General features: G+C 37.5%; 4 protein-coding genes, 2 long non-coding RNA genes and 1 pseudogene across 8 annotated transcripts in view; 2 read left to right on the forward strand and 5 right to left on the reverse strand.

The window, feature by feature from the left end:
* Positions 1 to 3,009, reverse strand: part of PRH1 (proline rich protein HaeIII subfamily 1) — a 290,647-nt gene extending 287,638 nt beyond the window's left edge. For all 3 annotated transcript variants that reach the window (NR_133575.2, NM_001291315.2, NM_001291314.2), the window contains exon 1: positions 2,820 to 3,009. The gene's annotated coding sequence lies outside the window, so the exon portion shown is untranslated. The remainder of the gene's footprint in view (positions 1 to 2,819) is intronic.
* Positions 1 to 3,009, reverse strand: part of PRH1-TAS2R14 (PRH1-TAS2R14 readthrough) — a 234,202-nt gene extending 231,193 nt beyond the window's left edge. The window contains exon 1 of the mRNA NM_001316893.2: positions 2,820 to 3,009. The gene's annotated coding sequence lies outside the window, so the exon portion shown is untranslated. The remainder of the gene's footprint in view (positions 1 to 2,819) is intronic.
* PRH1-PRR4 (PRH1-PRR4 readthrough) overlaps positions 1 to 3,023 on the reverse strand; it is a 325,777-nt gene extending 322,754 nt beyond the window's left edge. Inside the window, exon 1 of the long non-coding RNA NR_037918.2 lies at positions 2,820 to 3,023. This is a non-coding gene — a long non-coding RNA (PRH1-PRR4 readthrough). The remainder of the gene's footprint in view (positions 1 to 2,819) is intronic.
* SMIM10L1 (small integral membrane protein 10 like 1) lies at positions 2,592 to 7,414 on the forward strand. Its single transcript, NM_001271592.2, has one exon. It carries the CDS (start codon positions 2,755 to 2,757, stop codon positions 2,959 to 2,961), a length of 207 nt encoding a protein of 68 aa, NP_001258521.1. The 5' UTR covers positions 2,592 to 2,754; the 3' UTR covers positions 2,962 to 7,414.
* TAS2R67P (taste 2 receptor member 67, pseudogene) lies at positions 10,939 to 11,860 on the reverse strand (annotated as a pseudogene).
* Positions 17,391 to 18,335, reverse strand: TAS2R42 (taste 2 receptor member 42). Its single transcript, NM_181429.2, has one exon. It carries the CDS (start codon positions 18,333 to 18,335, stop codon positions 17,391 to 17,393), a length of 945 nt encoding a protein of 314 aa, NP_852094.2.
* A 2,414-nt stretch (positions 18,336 to 20,749) lies between these two features.
* LOC107987435 (uncharacterized) overlaps positions 20,750 to 24,306 on the forward strand; it is a 96,284-nt gene continuing 92,727 nt past the window's right edge. The window contains exon 1 of the long non-coding RNA XR_007063209.1: positions 20,750 to 21,509. This is a non-coding gene — a long non-coding RNA (uncharacterized LOC107987435). The remainder of the gene's footprint in view (positions 21,510 to 24,306) is intronic.

Genomic DNA, 24,306 nt, shown 5'->3' on the forward strand with positions numbered 1-24,306 from the left:
CTGACTCAGCTTGCTCTTCCCAAGAATCAGAATCAGAGTGATCAGAAAGGCAGAAGGCTCCTACTATCTGGAAAAGCATCATGCCCAGCAGGCTGTTTACCATAAAGTGAATCAAATCTGCTATAAAAGCTGAAAAACAGTACATGATAAAAAGAAAATAAGAAAGATTACGACTCCAAAATCATTTATTTCCCAATGGAATGTTAATAAACCAAGGACTCCATCAGAATCATAATATTCACATAATTAATTCTACACTTTATCCAAAGGAAAAATGGCTGAGAAAAATTAGCTATTGTGAACCACCCCCACCTCCAAAAATTATCAGGCAGATAGCAAACCAAAGGGTTGAGTACTGATCAGTGTCCAAAAGGAAACGTACTTTTTTTCTAGTTTGGCATTAGCACAAGTTAATGGTGTGGTGTGAACATAAGTATAAAAATATTAAGCAGTATTAAACACAGCTGTTAAATTCTGGAGCTGGCTAACCTGATGAAAAGTCAGTTAAAGGAAGCTTCCAATGCCCAAGCCAGTCAATGCAGTTAATCTGTACAATCAAGCCATTTCCAATCATGAATTTTCTAATTTGTACAATCAAGCCATTTCCAATCATGAATACTCTAATCATGAATTCTCCTAATATCACCCTCAGCAAAAGAAGTGTGGATTAGGCATTCAAATCTAAACATCAAGGGGCAGATAAAAACTACAACCACCTAAATTATTGCTCCTATCCCACTCTCAGGTGGAAAGAAGGAAATCTTTCTTCAGCTCTAGAGCATTAAGGAGTAGGATTTGGAGCTTTGTGACTGTTCTTTGCCTATTCCCGTCCCATTGGAATAGGCCCTCAATCTGGCCATGTTATCAGTGGGTGGCTGCTATTTTCCCCACGGTCTCAGGGTGGAAGATAAGGTTTTCATGGAGTTACCCAGAAACGGAGCAAGTAGGGCGTAAAGGGTGGCACAAAAGAGGAATAGAAGACAGAATGAGTCCACATAGCTTTACATATTTGGAAATGAAAAATCCAGGACGTAATGACTCCTGTGACTCTGAATGGCTCTGTGTATTAGTCTTTCAGTTTTCAAAGGGAGTAAATTATATGTGTGAACTGAAACTATATATCTTCTCCCAGTTCTCAGAATTGATCATTTATTTTACATCGCTCTTCAGTCTCTATACCAGTATTTTAGAAGTTGTCATAAGTAATTCCTCTAAGTGCTACCTCGCTGGAGTGGTACTGGAGCAGCAAAGTAGCAAAAGAATACTAGCTGGGAACACAAAATTAATTTTTACAAATTTATCAGTGGCACGTTATTTCTACCAGTCATATAATCAGTAGACTATATAGAAACAGAGGTACTCTAGGGTACCGTACTTGTGCTCTGAATAGCTGCTAGACATGCAGTGCACGGTGCGATGTGTGGTATCTCAACAATGCTTTTCAGAACAAGACTGTAACCTTAAGGTCATGATCAGAAATCACACATTTGAATAATCCATGAATGAAGACGGTGTGTGCGATTAAAAAATACAGTGCTTTCTAGTTAAAATGGGAGATAAGTGAAGGTAATGAAATGTGCACCATTTAAATAACAAAAGTATTGTGGCTATTAGAGATTCACTGTGCTGTTACTCTAATGGTATTAAGAGTTTGGAAGTACAGGCCGGGCGCTGTGGCTCACGCCTGTAATCCCAGCACTTTGGGAGGCTGAGGCGGGCAGATCACGAGGTCAGGAGATCGAGACCATCCTGGCTAACACGGTGAAACCCCATCTCTACCAAAAAATACAAAAAATTAGCCGGGCATGGTGGCGGGCGCCTGTAGTCCCAGCTACTCAGGAGGCTGAGGCAGGAGAATGGCGTGAACCCGGGAGGCGGAGCTTGCAGTGAGCCGAGATCGCGCCACTGCACTCCAGCCTGGGCGACAGAGCGAGACTCCCGTCTCAAAAACAACAACAAAAAAAGAGTTTGGAAGTACAGAGTAGTATTCCAGCTCTTGGAGCCTAGCCACAGGTTTCACAGATGCATCTCCATGCAGAAATGGCTGAAGCTTCCACAGCTAATCTGAACTTTTTAAGGGTTTACATGGCTGGGAATATAATTTTGTATGTATGTCCTTATGTATATACGCGTGTGTGTCCACTAGTTTTTTGCTTGAATGTTTATCATTCCTGTCACTTGCAATTTAAATATTCCTAATAAATAGAAAAATCCAAAGACTAAGATTGTGATCCTTTTTATGTCTATGGTATATTATGAATACAGAGACCTTGTGCTTTTATTGGCGTAGGAATCATCTTGCCCTAATATTAATATTATGAAATCAAAAGGGTAAGATTCCTAACATCCCACATAACACAGCAGACAAACTAAAGTTTTAATCTAGCTTTGGCCCTTACAAATTTTGTGCCCTACGGCAAGTTACATCTCGCTTAGATTTTTTCATTTTAAAGTGGAACTATCTGCATGGATGTTCGTACATGCTATATAACACATCCTATTCCAGAGCCACCTACCATCAGTTGAGCTCTAAATGGTAAATGCCACAGTGAGAAGCAGACAGGAAGGGGCGGAGCGCCAGCGGCGCCCGGGGCTACGCGCCGCACTGCACCGAGCGGCGGCAGCGGCAAGCTTGGGTGTGAGCCCGGGAGCCGCTTTGCTTACCGTCCTGCCGGTCCCAGCCGTCGCTAGGAGGTCCGCGGGCCCTGCGGCAACCCTCGCTACAGACGCTGGGCGGGCGGCGACACCTGGCTCATGGCCCCCGCGGCGGCTCCGTCCTCCTTGGCCGTCAGGGCCTCAAGCCCCGCCGCGACACCCACCTCGTACGGCGTCTTCTGCAAGGGGCTCTCCCGCACCCTGCTCGCCTTCTTCGAGCTGGCCTGGCAGCTGCGCATGAACTTCCCGTACTTCTACGTCGCGGGCTCGGTGATCCTCAACATCCGATTGCAGGTACATATTTAGAGCCATGACTAAGCTAACGGCCTCCGGGGCCAGCATGATGGCCGACTCCCAGGGTCCGTTGCGGCGCGGCGGAGCAGCCAATGGCGAGCCCCACAGTCTCGCGAGAGTGCTCAGGCGCTCTTCGTGGCTGCCCTCTTAGCTGCTAGCGGAGCTCCTCAGGGGGCGGCCGGGAGCCTACAATCCCTAGAAAGAGAATACGCTGTTCCGGAAACAGAACTGCAGTTAAGACCCTCGAAAACATCTAAGAAAGTGTGCATCCTAAAACACCTGACGAATTTCAGAATGTGACAAAGCGCAGAGGATGCATTATTTCAAAACAAAACAGAAGGCTAAAATTTGCAGGAAAAAGAAAATCAGTAAACCGGGAATCCTCGGACTGGATTGTAAGCAAGATTTCAATGAATAAGAAGCTGAAGGTATTAAGGCTGTGATATAGAAGGTACATATTTCATCCCACAAGAGAAAACAATAATAATCAGAAATTTTCGGTGAAAAAAACGCAAAACTGTACAGGAAAATCATCCTCCAAGTACCAGACATAAAATGCTGCAAGCTTTTGAACTAATGGCGAGAGTGTAAGAAAATGGGCTCTACTTCAGTGATCCTGTGGCAGGACGTGGATCAAGACTTGGAACCGCAGAAAACGAAATCCCATAGTAGCACAAAGCTTGGCTGTTCAGTGAATAACATTTAAATAATCGTAAAATACAAATGTTGTTTATGGTTTTTATTGTTTAAGGGCATACTTAATTATGGTTACAAAGTGGAGTGCAAATGTTATTTACCATGTTTTAAAAATACAGCCGGAAAATACAAGTGGGAATGTTGAAGGAGGGCGGGGGAAGTAAATGGAATGGGGGTTATGTCCTTATAAAGTGGAAACTTGAAAGGTACTGTCTGTTGTTGAGTGGGGAAAGACATTTTTATTACTTACAGGGTAGCCATAAAGTTTCTAAAACGGTAATATATTAAAGAGGGAGAGTGGTAGGGGAGAACAGTATGAAGTCAACAGGAAATGGCTAAAGATGGAGAGCTCAGGTAGAATAGTTTAAAAAATGAAAATTGATAGAGTACCTGGTGTATTTGAATACAGCCTAGAGAGCTTTCATTTTCCAAAGAGTGTGGGGATAAATTAGTGAATGCATATTTTTCAAAATTAAGAAAACAGAACATATAATTTTGAACGCTGAGAAAAATAAAAATTTAAAAACTACACTGTATACACGGTATACCTCAACTGTGAATAATAGTAGTCATGTAAAGTCAGTCATAATTATGTAAATACTGAATACTGATTTTACAACAAATGATTCTATAACGCTGGGAGGATGGGAGAAAAGAGATGTGTGTGTGTGTAATGGTGGTGAGCCAATCAAGATCTGATATAGAAAAATGCAGAAAAAGGAGTATACACATGTTTTCTTCGGATTAAAAAAACTAATAATAAATCACCAAGAGTGGTAAAGTTTTAAATCAAGATCTGATATAGAAAAGTGCAGAAAAAGTAGTATACGCATTTTTTTTTTCAGGAAAAAATTAACTAATAAACCACTAAGAGGGGTAAAGTGTTAAAATAGTTGCATTGTTCTATATTCCACTCATTGTGTCCAGCAAACAGTGTTCTATGGCTTTAAGTAGTAAGCATCTTGCCCCGTCCAACACCATGTCTGGCCTAGGGTAATTGTTCTTTCTAGTCTTTATTCTTTGTCTCCAGCCAAACTCCATTTGGGCACATTCTCCTATAGCCTTTTCTACCTGAAGATACTCTGTGTTTTAAAGCTAAGCTTAGGTGGCGCTTTTTCCATTAAATTTTTCCTGGATTCCACTGACCATATAGGAGCTCACTTCTTTTAATCCATAAGGCCATTTTCATAGGTTGCCTTATTTTTCCCTAATCGTGCATCAACTGTCTGTTTTATATACCCAAGACAGGTTTCCTAGACTGCGATAAGCCAAAACATTTTAGTCTAAAATATCAGAAGTGTAGTTTAATCAATGAAATAGTAATACCAAGGGATTTAGAATCGTGGACATCACTGTTTCCCAGAGCACTGATGTCCCAATTTGTAACACAAAAGACTGTCTAGTCTTAATCCTGAAATGGTGACAGAGTAGGATGCTCCATTTGGGTGACTATGTGAACATATTCCTATAACTTTTTTCCTCACATCAGTCATTTGTTAAACCGAAGATGAAGAAACAGACTTTGTATTTATTACATCCTCCAACATAATTGGCAGCTCTGTGAGGGAAGACACTATATCCTATTCAATTTTACACCCGGTAGTAACAGTATGTGTGTGTACTGTATATATACATATATATATACATACACATATATAAATTTAAGTAGTAACTATATATGTATATATGTATAGTTACTACTTACTATATATGTATACAGTATATAAGTATATATGTATAGTTACTACTTACAATATATGCATAAAGTTACAGCTTACATTTACCTCGTAATATATGTATATATATATATTAGGAGTTAAATGTATTAGGAGGTAAATGTAAACTCTGTGGTTTATCATTTATTCACAATTGCTCTTAATTCTTGGGGTATAGTTTGCCTCCTACATGATGCAATTCAGTGAAATTCCCAGGAGACAAAACAAGATTTTGACCTGAATAAACCACTTATTGTTGTAATTCACAAGTGAGTTTATTCTTCCTGGCACACTTCCAGGTAATATCCATTAGGCTAAGGATTTTGTTTGTTCACTGTTCTATCCCCAAGCCTAGAGCACTGCCCAGTGCGGAATAGCTAATAAATATTGTTGAATGGATAGATGAATGGCAATTTTGTTGGTATGCTCTACATAGTCAGCAGTCAATAAAGGAAACATATATTCGTTCCTGATAATAAGATGATTCACTTTATTGCCCATAAATTGGGCTTTTTCAGGCCATCATGCACGTTGATTGATCCAGAGATCCCTCAAGCATGAAAAAGCAGAGACATAGGTGGTATAGTTATTATCAATAGAGATAAGAAATGTAGCTGGCAAAAAAAAAAATGGGAAACGATGCGTTACAGCTTATTTTAACTATAAAAGGAAAACAGTGAACATAGCAACATATGTAACCTAAGGGATAGGGGAAAAGTTGTTTTTTTTTTTTTAATTCTGGGTAAAAATACATGTGATTACTTGACAAATAGCATATCATTACCATCAGCATCATTTTTAAAATATATTGAGTTTTTAATACCAGGAACTATGAAAAACTATTTATATACATGAGCTCCGTAATTCTCACATATACCCTGTGAGGAAAACATTTTTATCATTTTTCAGAGAAGCAAACCGGGATTTAGAGAGGTTAAGTAAATTCCTAAGGTCATGATAACCAACCAGACCTCAAATGAATCTCCAGTAATTCCTAAAGTTATATTTCATAAGGAGTTCAATTTTCTTAAATGTGTAGATAATTACAAATAATTCTGTTTCTCAAATTTCTGGACAGAAATATTACCTGGGTAATAGTTATTTTTTTTAACATAACTATTGAGGGTCTTTCATACTAAAATATAAATATTTAACATGATTTGATATGTAAGTTCAAGTATTTTATACTCTCTGCAGCCTTAAACCTATTGGCTTATTTTATTAGAGGGTTGGTGGGATTGAGGGATATGGGAGCAAAGGGAGAGAGAGGAAAGAACGTTGTCCTCAGAATGGAAGGGAAACACTTTCCTGTGCTACCCAGAGTAGAGATCAGACAATGTTAAATTTTGAAGCCATGTCTGTTCCTGTCCTGAGGATCCCTAACTAAATTTTGTTAGAAAATCTTGCAGTTTGCTTTTAATGGGAGATCTTTCTGGCAGGACATCAATAGCTTTTGATAGCGTCAAGAAGAAAATAAAGTTACATGCAGAAGCATAAAGGGGTAGGATGAAAGTTGAGGAATATAGGGACAAAAGATGAGGGAAAGGAATATCCTAATACTTGGAAGTTTGAGCATGGAAAGTAGTCTAAAGACGACTTGGGAAGTTCCAAGAAAATGAACCAAGAAAAGAACCTCTGCAAGAACTATGAGAATTCCCAACAATTGGGTTGGATTGATTCATATTAGTCTATTACTTGGGTTACCTTGAGTGTGGGGATTCTTCTTGCAGTTTTAACACTTGTACTATGGTCTGAATGTGCCCCCCAAAAATTCACATGTTGGCATTTAACCCCCAAAGTGATGATCTCAGGAGATGGGACCTTTGGGAGGTGATCAGGTCATAAAGATGAAACCCTCGTGAATGGGATTAGTGCCTTTATAAAGGAGACCCCAAAATAATTCCCTTACCCCTTTTGCCATGTAAGGTTATAGGGAAAAGTCATCTATGAACAAGGAAATGAACCCTCACCAGATACCAAATTTGTGAATGCCTGGATCTTGGACTTCCCAGCTTCTAGAACTATAAGAAATAAATTTCTGTTGTTCATAAGCACCCATTTTATGGTATTTTTTATAGCAGCCTGAACAAACTAGACTTAATAGGATTTGCTCAGCAGGATTACCACCAGGTCAAGTCATGAGATCTTTTCAAAATATAAGTAAACCTCCCCTTACCCCTACTCTCCACAAATACAAATTTCAGCAGTGCTCTTGGGACAACTAAAAGGCCCAAGGACCTTCCCAAAAGCCTACTACAAATGAAGAAACTATGGAAGTCTTAGTAGCTTAATTGCAGGACATCCCTGCCAGTTTCTATCCTGATTAGGGATCTGCAATGAACATTACAAAATCTTCACCATCTCCATGGCTTTCAACACCAAGCATATGGACTTAGCCACTGTAAAATAGTGGCATGCATCAATGAACAATAAAGAGAAATGGAGATCATTCATATTATTAGTGAGGGAAGTTGGGTACAACTTTTCATCAGCCAAAAAGAGGGAGAAAAAAATCACACCACCAAATAATGAAATACTGTAACTAAGATCATTGGCAGAGAATTAGAGATTATGTTCAGCAGATTAAAAAAAAAAAGAAAACAGCTGTGATCATGCCACTGCACTCCAGCCAGGGCTGCAGAGCAAGACCCTGTCTCAAAAAAACAAAAAGCCAAAAATACGAGATGCTTAAAAAAAGAACTGTTGTTCAAGAGATCATTTTCACTTTTTAATTGGTTTTTGAAAACTGTGAAAGTATCTCAAACTGAAGTCTAAAAGGAAAATAATAGAAGCTTCAAAGTTCAGGGGCCAGGTTATATCTATATAAAAGGGAAGCTAACTTATTTCCAGAACTGATTCATTTATTAAACATGGGGCTAAGGAATAGAGGTGGCAATATACAAGTCAGGATAATGCCTTTGTCTTCTGAAGCTGCATCTACATTGGTGCCCCTCAAAATAGCTAAAATTGAAAATAGTTTATCTGTCACCTGGGATTTCTTCTACAAATAACCTTCCCAAAAAAATATTGCCTAACATTTTTCTGAATTTATCAAGCCAACCATCTGATCAGTTTTCTAAATGAAGATTTATTCTTGGCAATAATCTAGCTCAGGGCCTAGGTCTTGTACACAGCATTAAGCAATGTAACAGATGAGTGCACTGGAAGTATGGATTTGCAGATGGCCTCCTTGTTTCTGTATTTTAATTAAGGAAGTCTCTAGCTCAAAGGACATGAGATTAAGGGCAGCAGCAAACCATGTGAACTATCAGAGATTCAACAGAGACAATCACGCCCTCTGAAATATGTATTGATCCATGCATATTTTCACTAGGATGTTTTCTTTGAGTAAAGCTAAGGACAACATGGCTTGCGCACCCAAAATATCTTCTCATCTTAAGTTCTAGGCCTAAGGCAGGGCTCAGGCATCAGCCGTTTTTGGCATTAGAAACAGGTTATTCAGGTTATTGGCAACTCTTCTATAAATCAACTGTGTGACCAAACTGGGTTGGGGGGAGGGCAGGGGCGGGAAACTCAAAAACTCTCATGACATCAAGACTATAAACTTACTTTAGGGGAAAGCAATTGGCAAAAAAAAAAAAAAAAAAATGTCGATCATTTTCTTTTCCCAATTATTTGTTCCCAGGATAGGATACAGTTCTCTCCAGATTGCCTGAAACTAGCTTTGGATGTAAGAGTCGTGGTTTTCTTGGATCGTGGCTTGCATCTCCAACCCAAGCTTTCATTATGGAAAATGATGGTGCAGAGCTTAATCTCAAAATGCCATTGTAATAGGGAGACTGCAATACAGTGGTAGCAACAGTCCCACACTTTCTCCCAGCCTTCATCATTTAATAGTCATTTTCTGTGCTTTTATTATCTGGAATAGGTCTCTGCTCCATATGGCTTCATCTCTGCAAGGATAGTACGTGAGATGTGAAGACTTAATCCTAATGAGACATTTACTTCTAAGTCCCACTCACTAGAAGCAAGGGTTGTGTATGGTTGTTTAAATCTTTTGAATCTTGATCATTAAAGAAAAGTTTAGTCTGGACGCAGTGGCTCACCCCTATAATCTCAGCACTTTGGGAGGCCAAGGCGGGCAGGTCACCTGAGGTCGGGAGTTCAAGACCAGCCTGACCAAAATGGAGAAACCCTGTCTCTACTAAAAATACAAAAAAATTAGCCAGGCATGCTGGCGCATGCCTATAATCCCAGCTACTTGGGAGGCTAAGGCAGGAGAATTGCTTGAACCCAGGAAGCAGAGGTTGCAGTGAGCCAAGATTGCGCCATTGCACTCCAGCCTGGGCAACAAGAGCAAAACTCCATCCCAAAAAGTAAAGAAGGGAAGGGAAGGGGAGGGAAGGGAAGGGGGAGGGGAGAGGGAGGGGAGGGAGTGGGGATGGGGAGGGTCAAGGGAAGGGGTGGGAGGAGAGGGGAGGGAAGGGAATTTAACTTATTTACTGAAAGGAGTAATTCCAAACCATATTATCCTCACTATCTGAACCTAAATATAGCCAGTGTGATTTTAATGTTGCCCTTTCTAAAGCAAGATAATGCCCATGATAATCATTAGGAAATTTATTATACAGTATCTAACAATGAATGGAGTTTTAAAAATCTAAATGTCTGTATAGGCCTGGACTGGCCTTAAGATTATATATTATATACATTTTCAGTTACTTTATTTTTTTGTAAAAGTCAACCTAGAACTATACACAAATACAAACATGCCTAAAATTTATGCAAATATGTGACATTCTCTTATAAATTTTCCTTTATGTTCTTATTCTTAGTGAGTTAGTTGGTTGTGTTAGTTTTCTCTGGTGTGACACACTAGTATTCATGGTATGACAAAAATATGTCATTACACATGTGCACACACACAGAGATCCTGTGTCAAAGTGTGGTTTTGATCCAAAAAAGTAAAAATATAAGCATCATTATGGACATAGGGATAAGTATTCAACTTCTTTTTAGAAATTCAATTGATTTTGCACTTATCCTACAAAGGTAGGATAGCTTGAATTCCTAGCTGGAGTCCTAATGAGAGAATGCTATTTTGTTTTAAAAGTTACCTCTATTGCTATGAGATTATATGCTTTCAATATTTTTAGTTCTTAATGTATTTGACTTAGTGTTATAAAAATATGCCACCTACTCCAGATTGGAGTAGGTATTAGGTTCTAATGGCATTTAGAACCATTTCCAAATATTACTGTTTTTTTTCCTCACATGTGAATGTAATCACACATTTGCCAGCACATATAAAATAAATACATGTTGCATTATATATTTTACATTTATATTAAGTCTCAAATATTTCCTAGTTACTAGCAAATATTAAAATGACAATGATACTTACTTTTTAAAAAAAATCCGGTATTACATTGGCTGACTTTATGAGTAAATCGTTCATTTATAGGCCATTCTAGGGAAATTTTGTGATGCTTAATTACACCTTAAAATAATCTGGGTGAAAAACACATGCTAAAATACATCTTCAATGTGTTCTCATTAATTCCCCTGGAATACAGAAAAATCCAGAAAAGTCTACAAAACTAAAGTTTCACTCTTTTTAGGTGGCACTTAAGATGCCACAGTGGTCCCACAGCAGTCTGTCTCAGCTTGCAGTTTTCCAAAATTAGGACAAATGAGTGGCTTGAAGGAAAAATAATTGACGTTAACAAGACAAAAAAATTGGCCTGCTATTTCTGCTGTATAAGGAAAATCCAACCTGTTGGTAGGAGAGAAGAAAAGTGAACCAAAAAGAAGAGGAGAAAAGACACCATCATTTTCATTTTCATTTTCATGGCCCTCTTATGGGCCTTCATTCTGAGGTCCCTCGGGCCCATGGTGTTGAGCTGCAAATTCCTGATATGTCTCATCAAGGACAGAATTAAAAGGAGCAGTGAGATCAGGGACAGAAGAAAGGAAATTAAGTAGATCAAACTGACAAGAATCCAGAGGCTACAATATAGAATTTTACTTACATCTAAAGACCAAGTTGAGTTTCTTTCATAAATTGTGTAGATGTTAATCCACAAGTCACTAAGTCCACCTGTTAATGCAAGGTTGAAAAACAGTAAGAGCAAGGACCCCAGTGGGAGTTCAAGTAGCGTTCTGCTAATTCTCCATCTCAGCCAGATGAAGCATGGGTGGGAAAAATAGGTATTTTAAAGAAGTAGAAAACACTAAGGCAGCAAGCCAGGTAACTAAGTGATTGGTCAGTGCCCAAAAAATATGAATAAATTTTATTAGTTTATTGAAGGCATATAGATGTGGCCATAATGCTGTTACAAATGAATCAAGTAGTATTATCCAAAGTTGACTGATTGTGGAGATAGCCAGGCTGGTGAGGATGCAGTTGTCTAATAAGATCATTTGACTCCTCACCAGTCAATGCAGTTAACTAGTACAATGAACCCATTCCCTAACATTCAGATTATGAATTCTCCCATCATTACTATCAGAAAGGTATTTCCAATTCCAGGTGGCATTTCTGGAGAAACAAATCCAGAAAGCTAATACTATGTTTCACTGATACTTTTGCTGTCAAAACGTTGCAGAATAATATCCAACTTGATGATTTTCAGATTTATATTTAAAATGTTCAGAGTAACTCAGAATGATCTTCTGTTTGATGCCACCTCACTTATCTTCACAAAAGATCTTTCTGTTTTTTTTTATATTCATCTCACTAGTAGGCCTGAAATATGTGCAAGAAGATCCAGTCTCACATATCTTAATTTAAAAAAAACTTTAACATTATTTTTAATCAGCTACTGACTTACAAATTAAATAGTAAATGTAGTAAATGTGCCCACTCATCATTGGCACTGAGAGCAATTTCCCACTTGTGAGGACATCTAGAAGGGCAAAGTCAGGTATGCAAATATCAAACAGATTTCTTTACACTGATTTGTAATTTTCTCCTCAACTGAAAGTCAATACCATTTGGATTTGAATATCTTAATTTTAAAAGAATTATCTAAAAATAACCTCTACAATATATGTATTACTCATTAGTTTCATTAAATAAACTCCATAATTTTCCAATTCTACTTTAGAGGAATTAAGTGTAATAAAAAGAAGCATCAAAAAGCTCACAGAGTAGTGAAAAGAAGCAACATTAAATGTGCTTTTACTACTGAATGTAACCACAGTTTGATCAAAATGCAATTACAACACAGAGGAGGGTGTTATAAAATCTATGGCCAATAACTAATTCTAGTTTCATGAAGATAATGACAGTTGGCTTGGGTCTTGAAGCTTTTAGGATTTCTTAAAGAAATAGACAAAAAGGGAGATGATTTTACATAATTATGTAAAAGCATATGTAAAGAAACAAAAAGTATTCCTTTATCTGAGCTATTTTACTGAACTTTTGAGCTTGGTTTCCAATGCCTTCCTGGCTATTTGATTTTGAATAAGCTCTTATCAACTGAAATGAAAAAAAAATAGTAAAAAAGGATGGAAAAATAGCAAAAAAACATAAGAGGGAGAATAGGAGGGAGATTCTCCTTTTCATTAATTCTTCCTTTGGTAAAATTCTTTGTCTCATAAAAATGTATCCACAGTAAAATACATTTTATAATTTATTTGTATTATTTTGTAACTCTAATACAATGTTTTTCAAACTTGACTGCACATTGGAGTTAACTTGGGAGATTTAAAAAAACATATTGATGCCTGTGGGCCACTCCCAGGGATTTTTTTTACCTAATTGGTCTGGAGTACATTGCTGGCACTCACTGAGAGGCTCTTGATGTATGTCTTACAGTGACTCCCAAACCCAGGCAAAAATATTTCTACCCAAAAGCTGCAAATCTATGATTCTGCAAGGACAGGACAGGATTTTGCCTGCCTTGTTCTCTAACAATGTGTTTCTCATTCAGCCAATTTTGACGCTGACTGGCAAACTGGCCACCAACTCTCTTAACAACCACATAAGCGACTTTTTTGTTGTTGTTCATTAGTCTGTTTCCAATTCACAGAACATAAAGGGCATGGATAATAGCAGGTCTTCCATAACTATTTGTTAAATGAATTAGTGCTAACTTAGTTGGCAGTCCCACTAGCAGCACACAAAAGGAGAAAATGAATTAGGCTTGACTGTGAAACAAGTATCAGAGCAAGAAAAGAAAGTACCTCCTTACAGAAAATGTTACATTCATGTATGAGCTTATGAAAGATTTCTGTTCTAATCCTGAAAAACCCAACACTGCTCTGTAATCTTTCTAGTTCAATCAAGAAATCATACAGAATCAAAAGGAACATGGTCTGCCACCCAAGATGGGGGAGGCTTGGTACTTTTCTTCATGAAAAGGAACTACTTCTGTTGAAGATGGCTAGAAAACTAGATTTCATGACCCAAGAAGCAAGATAGCCCTAGAGATCACTAATGTTTTCAGAAATGCTCTGCAAGTCATGTAAAGGCTAATTGAGAAGAAGATTCCATTGATAGGCATGGTTTAGCTGTGAAAAACACCGAAAACAAGTCAGTCAGGAGATAGTGATTAAAGAACATCTAAGTTTGTAGTTACGCTGAAGAAACTAAAAATAAAAGATGCAATAACAAGTATAAAAACCACAAGTCCCATATACTATGAGTTGTATTCAAAGTCCAAGTTAATAATCACAATTTTTTAAATCTACATAATTAATCTATGTCCTACTCTAGACAAAATATCATCCAGTGTCTAGAATGAAAGCAAAATGACTGTGCAAATATACAAACACCCCCTAAAATAACTATTGGGTAATAGGCTTAATACCTGGGTGATGAAATAATCTGTACAACAAACTCCCATGACATGAGTTTACTTGTGTAACAAACCTGCACATTTACCCCTGAAACTAAAAGTTTTTTTGTAAAAAAAAAAAAACACCCCTTAAAGCATGATCTGGCTCAGAGAAGATGCTGTCTAATGAAGATTTTGCTAGAAAAAGCCACCTACTAAGACATAGCAGATAAACCACCCAAGACAGTGAGGAAATTGGTGCTCCTTTTTCTTGGAAATCAGTATTGGTATGGGTTTCTACCTGATGTTACATTCAGTACAGTTTAAGAAAACATGCCTTGATATACTTGATTTGTGTCTTATTTGCCTTCAGAACTAGAGCTATGGGTTGGAGATAAGCCAATTTCAGCAGTAGAAACAGGTTATTTGTTCCTGTCCTATAAATTACCTGACTGTATGCATTGAAATAACCACAATGATTACACCCAGTATCTTGAAATGAGCATTTATTTGACAAGTGAGATGAGTGGGAGTCTATAAAAATGAGTGATAATTTCCCTCTTTCCCCAACAGCTGGGTCCCAGGGTAGGTCATAATCCCATCAGTCTTGTTGATGGGATGTTGCATGTTGCATGTGTCAGTGCATGTGTTGGGCATGGCTCTTGGATTGTGGCTTGGTGGCTGCTAAATTCCCACAAAGGCCTTGTTTGGGAGAAAGTGGAGGTGCAGAGCTTGCTCTCATTTGCCATTCAAATATGCAGATTACTGGCCAGGCACGGTGGCTCATGCCTGTAATCCCAATACTTTGGGAGGCCAAGGTGGGTGGATCACCTGAGGTCAGGAGTTCGAGACCAGCCTGGCTAACATGGTGAAACCCCATCTCTACTAAAAATACAAAAATTAGCCAGGCGTGGTGGCATACACCACCTGTAATCCCAGCTACTCAGGAAGCTGAAGCAGGAGAAGCACTTGAACCCGGGAGGTGGAGGTTGCCATGAGCCGAGATCGCCCCACTGTACTCCAGCCTGGACGACAGAGCAAGACTCTGTGTCAAAAAAAAAAACAAAAAACAAAAACGGATTACAATACATCAATTGCAATAACCAGAATATGTCCCGGGCTGCTCTTACTACTTTTTTGTTTTGCTTCTATTGTGAAGAATGGGGTCCTGTTCCTTGTAGTCCCATCTCCCTGGGGTTGCTGCCTACTAAGTGTTAGACATGTATTACTCTTAATTAGACATGTATTAATTTACCACTAAGGTTGCTTATGAGTTGGATCAACTGCTTATCAAAGAAAAGTTTACTGACACAAAAATATAAATAGTATTTTGTGTTTTAAAGAATACAAGGTTAAGTCATTTATATAAAAGAATATCTTTAAAATAAACTCAGTATCTAAGTCTAAAATATATTCAGCTTGATTTGCACATTACCTTTTATCAAGGCAAGAAAATTATAATTATAATCTTTGACAAAATACTAAATTAGTGATCAAAATAATATATGTACATTTTATTTTGTAAAATGCAAATTACTAAAAAAAGATGTTGTATTATCATTAAAACAATCATCAACATCATTGTTATTGATACATGATACCATATAGCCCAGATGTACTTACAATTTCATTTTATGCATATGGGGAGGGGGAAGTACTAATAATTCTAACATCATTTCCGGCTCCAGGGCACAGCTGTGGAGTCATGCCCTCAACTATAGCTTCATCAAGATTAATTTACAAGCATGTATTTATCAGTATTTAATAGCACATTTTTGTTTCTGTAATCTAGCACAATATAAAGAACATATCAAAAGTAAATTCTAAAAGGAATTCTTTGTTATTAAAAAGTTTCACTATACAGCTTCTGTACAGTGTTTTAATCTATGCCATCATATTCAAAATTTTTAGTAAATTTTCCCACCCTTAGCCTTATTTACAATCTGTAGTTTGTTACCTTATCTAATCTTAGATTATCACAGTCAAAGCAGCACTATGTATACATATGCTTGTCTAAAATTTACAATAAGCCTGCAACATTCTATAAACAACATCACTTTGCTTTCTGTGCCTTGCTGGTTAACATTGTTTCTATTTTTTCCTCTAAGAAATACAGTGATCAGATTGCAACAAAATGCATGTCACATAAACAAACACAAACACAAACATCCTCAGAATGTAATTATGATCTTTTTGTAGTAGCAATATGAGTATAATTGTGAATTAAGACATAAACTTCTATAATTTTAGTTCTATTACATAACATGGTAGAAACATTGGTTTCTGCCTCTCTGAAAATGCATATTGCATGTCCTAGAATTTAGCAAAATTAGCATGTGCCTAGAAACATCAAAATGTTTATTATTTGGGGTTTTAAATTGACATCAGCATTAAATCATGTGTTTCCAGTTTCCATTTAAAGATAATTTATTTTATTTCACACTACAAATCTTCTCCTTTTCTCACATAATCGTCGTATTTCCTTGTTATCAACAAGACTTCTAATAACAAAAAAAAACCACTTTTTTTCATTTAAAAAAAATGCTTGGGGCTGGGCACAGTGTCTCATGCCTGTAATCCCAGCACTTTGGGAGGCCAAGGCGGGTGGATCACCTGAGGTCAGGAGTTCGAGAACAGCCTGACCAATATGGTGAAACCCCATCTCTATTAAAAATACAAAAATTAGCCATGTGTGGTGGTGTGTGCCTGTAGTCCCAGCTACTCGGGAGACTGAGATAGGAGAGTTGTTTGAACCCAGGAGGTGGAGGTGGCAGTGAGCCAAGATCACACCACTGCACTCCAGCCTGGGCGACAGAGTGAGATGCCATTAAAAAAAAAAAAAAAAAAAAAAAAGTTTAGCTTTGAAGCTATGAGGCTATATTTTTCCTGCTGTGACTTTAGTTTTTAATTAGATTTTCTATCCACATTGTATATATCTTTTACCCATTCAAGTTTGTAATCTATCTTGCTTTTAAAGACACACACCTTTTTCTCCACAAGTTGCAATTACCTATCGTTTGCATATAAAATTAAATAATTTAGATTTTTTGAAATAATATGTGAGGTTAAAATATTGCTTGCCAATGCTCCAAACAAAAATGATTACTTTTAAAATGGTATCGACCGGCAATGTGTGAATTACCATCAAAAGCAACCTGGTAGGATTTCATTTATGTTCCAAAATACTTAGAGAAACCCAGTAGAAAAAAAAAAAAAAAACAGTGGAAGTGATCCCCAAATGCTCCTTGTTGAGTTATTCTCTTAGAAAAGCTTCTGTAAAGTCTGTCTACAAAGGTAAAGGGTTTGGTGTTTTTGTATAGTTCCTAAGATGCCACAGTAGCCTCACAGCTGTCTGTTGCAGCTTGCTGTTTCCCAGAATGAGAATAAATGAGTGGCACGAGGGAAAGGCATTTAAGGCTAACATGACAAACTTTATGCACTTGTTGTTCCACAACATAAAAAATATCCAATTGGCCACTTGTAAGGAAAAAAAATGAACTATGAAGAGGAAAAGGAAAGACATCACCATTTTCATGGCCCTCCTATGGGCCTCTGTGCTGGAGTCTCTAGAGCCCAAGGAACTGAGCTTCAAATTTCTAGTATGTCTCACCAAGGACAGAAATAAAAAAAGCAAGGAGGTCAGGAACAGAGAAAAGGGGATAAAACTGGTCAAGCTGAGAAGAGTTTTTAAAATAGAGAGTTTATCATAGAGAGTTTTACTTTCATCTAAATATAAAGTCAGATTACTTTTATCTATTATATTGAGTGAGATATCAATAAATATTTCTAGCACTAAACTGTCAAAAATCAGTAAGAACAAAGACAATATAAGAAGCATAACAATCATTCCGTTCATCCTCCACCTCAGCCAGAGGAAAAGGGAGTGGGGGAAGTGGGCTATCTTAAAGAAATAGAAAATGCTTAGGCAGGTGGCAAGCCAGGTTGTCAAGTGATTAGTCATGTGCCAAAGCATAATAACAGTTTTTCCTAGTCTATATGTGGTATATAAATGTGAAGCAAGTCCCACTAGAAATGAATCAAACAGTATCACCAACAGTTGTCCAATTGTGGAGATAGCCAAGCAGGTGAGGATGAAGTCAGCTGAGAAGACCTTTTGGTTCTTGATCCCTTCAGAGCAGTTTACCAGTCCAATGAACACATTCCCCAGCATGCTGATGATGAATTCTGCTATTGCCAGAATCAGAAAGATTTTGTCCAATTCGGTGGCCATCTCCAGAGACAAAAAAATCCAAGTTTTTAATACTTTGTATCATTAATAAATTTACAATCAAACCATTGCAGAAGAGCATTCATATCTGATACTTATCTTCATTGCTTTTATTGCACTTCCAGTCTTGATCAGAACCTTCTGCTGTTGGATAGAGTCTCATATACTTAAGGAAGTCTTTGCCTATTTTTACTATAATTCTGATCTTAATCCCAAAAGATCTACTAAGGGATGCAGTCTCACATACCTTCACGGGAGTGTTTTCATTTCTTTGAAAGAGCTGCTGAATTCTAAACCAAACAGTTTCTGTGTCCATTTATCATTGTCATGGGCTGAAACTTTCCACTTGTGGTAATGATTAAAAGGATAAAGTCAAGTATATTAATATGCAAATATAGACTGGATTCCCCCCCTTTCTCTGATTTGTACATTTCTGCTCACCTGAAAAACTACACCACTTGGATCCAAATATCTTTATTGTTTTTCAGAGGAAGCTGCAGATATAATCTAATAATTTTGTTATTATTCAACGAATATATTTTATAAGTGCCTGCTGTGTTTCTGATCTTATGCAAATGCAATATATTTACCACAAAAAAAAGCATTAAGAAGTCTATAAAATAGTGAAAACAGGAAAAAAACAATGAGACAGAATCAAGAATAAAATGTGCTATTAAAGCAGAAAAGGGAACTACAAACACTACTGTTGGGGAGAAAAGGGGGGTGACATTTGCTTTGGATCTGGAAAATACTTAGAATTTCATGAGGAAACTCAAGTCATATTTTGAACTCATTGAATAATATCCGAAAGATACCGAAACCCAAACTACTTTTTTGAAATTAAAGTCCTACTGATATTTCAGTCTAAATGTTCCTCAGGTATCTTATAGTAACTTGTTCAAAATTAAACATGGTTTTGCTCTTTACCTTGGTTTTATATATGTTCTATTTTTTTTTTGGCAAGAGATATATTGCTACCAATTTAGCCTTAATAGACAGGTAGAAAATTGTTTTAGATGAAATAAGGAAAGAGGAAACAAAAGTATTTGTTCTACATTCTAGGAACAATTATTTTGACAAAAACCCCCAATGCACCATAATTGAACTCAGAGTTACAGATTATGTGTCTTGGTTTATGGTCAGCAAACAGATATTCTATTACTAGAAATTAGTGTTCAAGTGTTGCCAGACAAAAATTAACCCAAAAAATGAATGAAATCATTTTTAAAACTTGGACCTTTTTAATGTTGCTGTCATACTCCTCAATTAAATTCTATTAATTAACATTTAAAAGTGTATATTTTAAGAATGATGTTGTATAAAGAACTACTGGTAAGTTATTTCCTATGAACAAAAATATTTTCATTTAGGACAGATATTTAAAATTATAGTAAGACAGGAGGAGAAAAAGAGTAAGCAAGAAAGGAAGGAAAGAAAGAAAAGAGGGAGGGAAGGAAGAGAATGAGAAAGAGGAAAGGAAGAGAGAGACAAAGAAAGAAAAAGGAGGGAGCTTCTGAGACAAAGGCTGAATGAAAATGAAGAAATGTAGCAATATCATAGGAAGGAGAATGATGGCTTCGGCCAAATTAGTGTCTAGAGATGGAAAGAAATATATGGCTATGAGAAACAATTAAGGGAAAGAATCAATAGTCTGTGTGATGGATTTGGAGGCTAGAAAAAGGAGGAGGAGTCTGCAATGAAATGCATTTAGGCTCTCCTTTCACTGCTGGATGCATGTGGTACTGTGATCTGAGGGAATCACTGGAGGAAGAATAGGCTTAGAAGCCAAAAAGTAGGAGAAAGAAGAAAAGTTTGAAGATGAGTTCTGTTTTGAACGTTTTGGAGTATCTGTAAAGTCATCGAAGTGGAAGGTTGGAGTAGGCACTTTGATATTTGTGACTGCAGCTCAGAAAAGAAATTTGGACCACATGGGGAGGTTTGGAGAACATCAACACATATTTGATTTTATTAGAGGTGAGGCGCTCCAAGGGCCCTGAGGAACACTAGACAATAAAGAAACCAAAGGAAAAATTAAGAAGCCATCAGAAGGAAGAGGAAAACCGAGAGACTAGGATTTCAAAGCTACTAAGAGCAAGGAGTGTTACAAGGAGGGTAATCAGTACTTCATGATATTAATGAAAAGTCACTTACTAGATTGAGGACCAAGGAACTACTTAGTTAACTTAGCAAGAGCAGCTCAACTGATGACAAAGCAAACTACCATGGATTAAAGAGTCAATGAGACCCCAATAATGAAGCATTAGAAAACCAATTAATGTAATTCAGTACATTAACAGATTAAAGGAGAAACATTCAGAAAAAAATTTGATACAATTCTGCATCTATTCACAAATATTCTTAGCAAAATTAGCTGAGCTAATTTTTAATCTGCAAAAATCTGCAAACATCTTTTGCATTTCTTCATACCATCAACAGTTTAAGTCTGAAAATACCTTAGCTTTTATGCCCATATAATTAGCTTATAATTAATACATATTGAATATAATCAAACATTCCAGAGTTTTAAAAAATTTAAACCATTATCACACTCTTTTTCTCATTTTACGTATTATTCAAGAACATTAAGTTCTCTGACTGTGTCATTGGATATATTCAGTTTTCCTGCTTGGTATCTTAATTATAGACTGTCTTCCAGTCTAAAGCAACTACCTCTAATATCATATCAGCCATCCCCTCTCTCCACAAAGACCAGCCCTGCTCCTTTTACCTAGTCCAGTCACTCAGTATTTTTTCTTTTTCAAAACCTATGGGCTGTACTTTTCCATGTGGGGTGATGGGTAACAAGAGAGTTTCTCCTTCACTATTATGCAAACACAGACCGATATTGTTACTCTTTTTGCATTTTCTTTGCCTAATGAATTTCCATTTGTATCTTTAGCTATGGAAGATCTAGAGGAAGAATTTACAGATCGTAAATATTAAAATTCAATCTAAAAGTCTCTTCATCCAAGCATGTGAGAAAAATCTTGGTCAGAATCTTGTTCAGAATAGGAGGAAGAGGATGTGTGGCATGCCTTATAGTCTTTCAATGGGCAGAGTAGTGGTTTGACCACTTACAAATTTACAAATGTGGATTGTACCATACTGTAGCCCTTATTCTCTGTTTTGTCCACAGGTACCAGGGGAATCTATACCTGAAGCATTACTGGAGTCAAGGTATAAAACATTTATGTTCTCTTATCTAATAAGTCTAAGAACTGAACTGCAAAGGATTTTAGTTTGCCAGAACTTGCCCTTCGTATGTTAATGTAAAGGATGTTGGTACTAATTAGAATGGTTCTTGCCAATGTGAGGGTACTAACCGATATGCTATTTATGTCCACTTGTTCAACTATATCTCTTTTGAAATACCTGAATAATTTTAGAAATGAACCAAGAAATTAGTTGAGAAGAAACCAAATAATATCTAAGGGAGAAATCATATACAACTTCAGGGATTATCTTAGTTTGTTTGTACTGCTGTAACAGACTATCACAAACTGGGTAATTTATAAGAAAAGAAACTGATTTCTCACAGTTTGAGAGGATGGGAAGTTCAATATCAATGTGTTAGCCTCTGGCAGAGGCCTTCTTGCTGCATCATCCCATGGCAGAACGTCAAAGAGAGGGAGACAGAGACAGAGTAAACTCACACTTTTAAAAGAAACCAACTCATGTGATAAACCCACTCCTGTGATAACAGCATGGATCCATCCATGAGGGTAATGCCCTCACGACCTAACACCTTTTAAAGGTCCCACCTCCCAATACCTCCAGGTCTCCAACAAGTGAACTTTGTGGGACACATTCAAATCATAGCATTTCACCCCTGGGCCCCCAAAGGTATGTCCTTCACACATGCAAAATTCATTTCCTCCCTTCCAGTAGCCCCCACATTGTAACTCATTCTAGCACCAACTTAAAAATCCAAACTCCAGAGTCTCATCCAAGTCAGATATGGATAAGACTCAAGGCACAATTCATCCTGAGGCAAATTCTCCAGCCATGAGCCTGTGGAATCAAAACAAGTTACCCACTTCCGAAATTCAGTGGTGGGACAGACATATGAAAGACATTTCCATTCCTGGGAAAAATAGGCAAGAAAAGAGGGGCAATTGGCCTTAAGTAAGTCCAAAACCCAGCAGGGCAAACCATATTAAATCCTAAGGGTTGAGAATAATCTTTGACTCCATGTCCCACCTTCTAGACCCACTGGGTCAGGGATTGGGCCCCCAATTTCCCAGGCAGCCTCACCTCCACAGCTTTGCTTGTCTCAGTTCACTCCTGAGCAGCTCTCACAGGTTGGAGTTTTGTGCCTATAGATCTCCCAGACTGGTTTTGTGAGGCAGCACAGGGCAGTGAATGCTGAGGTCTTTCAGGCACCTCTCTGGAAGCTTTGACCTTAAGGTCCTAACTTGCGTAACTTCTGGTCCTAACTCCATGATCTCGGAAATATCTTCCAGGTCATTCTCCCTTTGTCTTATGAATAGAACTTGGCTTCCTTCTAGCCAGATTAATATTTTCAGCAAATGACCACTTGGCCAAACCCTTCTTATTCTCTCTCGAACATGCTTTTTTATTCTTTATATGGCCAGGCTGAGAGTTCTCCAAATTTTTCTATTAGTCTTCACTTTTCATTATAAATTCCATCTTTAAATCATTTCTCTCTCCTCAACATTTTACTATATGTGCTTGAAAGAAGCCATGGAGCCCACTGAATGTTTTGCTGCTGAGATGTCTCTTCCATCAGATATCGTAGTTCACCTCTCTTAAATTCTGCCTTCCATAAAGCCAAAGGGCATGAACAGAATTCTGCCAAGTTTTTTTGCCACTTCATAACAAGGATGATCCTTACTCCAGTTTCCAATAAGACATTTCTCTTTTCCACCTGAGACCTCATCAGAATGGCGTTTACTCTCTATATGTCTACCAACATTCTCATCAGGACCATAAAAGTAATCTCTAAGAAGTTGCAGACTTTCCCTACAGTTATCCTCGCCTGAGACCTCAGTGGAATCACTCTTAATACAAAATTTGTGGCAATCTAGGCTTTTTCTAGCCTGCTCCTCCCATACCAATTTCCTGTCTTAGCCTGCTTTGTGCTGCTCTAACAAAATACCACAAACTGGGAAAATTATAAAGAAAGAAATTTATTCCTCAATTCTGGAGTCTGGGAAGTCCAATATAAAGGTGCCAGCATGTGGTAAGGGATTTCTTACTGTGTCATCTTATGGGAGAAGGGCAAAAAGAGAGAGAGAGAACGAGAATGGGGCTTAACTTGTCCTTGTATAAGGAATCAGCTCCTGTAATAACAAACCCACTACTCAATAATTGTGTTAAGCCATTTATGAGGGTTGTGCCTTCATGACCTAAACACTTCTTAAAGTTTCCACCTCCAAAAACCTCCACACTGGGGATCAAGCTTCTAACACATGAACTTTGGGGGACATATTCAAACCATAGCAGCCATGTATTTTACTAATTATAAAAAACAATAGTAACAACAACAATAATAAAAGGTATCATTTCTAGAACTCTTACTATATGCCTGGCTCTGGATAAAATGATTGACTTGCATTTGTGCATATATTAACTTAAGAAAATGCATGACAACCAATGAGCATATGAAAAGAAGCTCAATATCCCTGATCATTCAAGAAAAATTAATCAAAACCACAATGAGATATCATTGCACACCAGTCAGAATGACTATTATTAAAAAGTCGAAAAATAACAAATGCCAGTGAGGTTGTGGAGAAAAAGAAGTGCTTATACCCTATTGGTGGGAATGTAAAGTAGTTCAGCCATTGTGGAAGAAAATGTGGCAGTTCCTCAAAGATCTAAAGCCAGAACTACCATTCGACCCAGCAATCCCATTACTGGGTATATACCCAGAGGAATATAAATCATTCTGTTATAAAGACACATACATGCAAATGTTCATTGCAGTACTGTTCATAATAGCAAAGACATG

This window comes from Homo sapiens, chromosome 12 (genome assembly GCF_000001405.40).
Source record: "Homo sapiens chromosome 12, GRCh38.p14 Primary Assembly".
In the NCBI taxonomy this organism is placed as follows: Eukaryota; Metazoa; Chordata; class Mammalia; order Primates; family Hominidae; genus Homo; species Homo sapiens.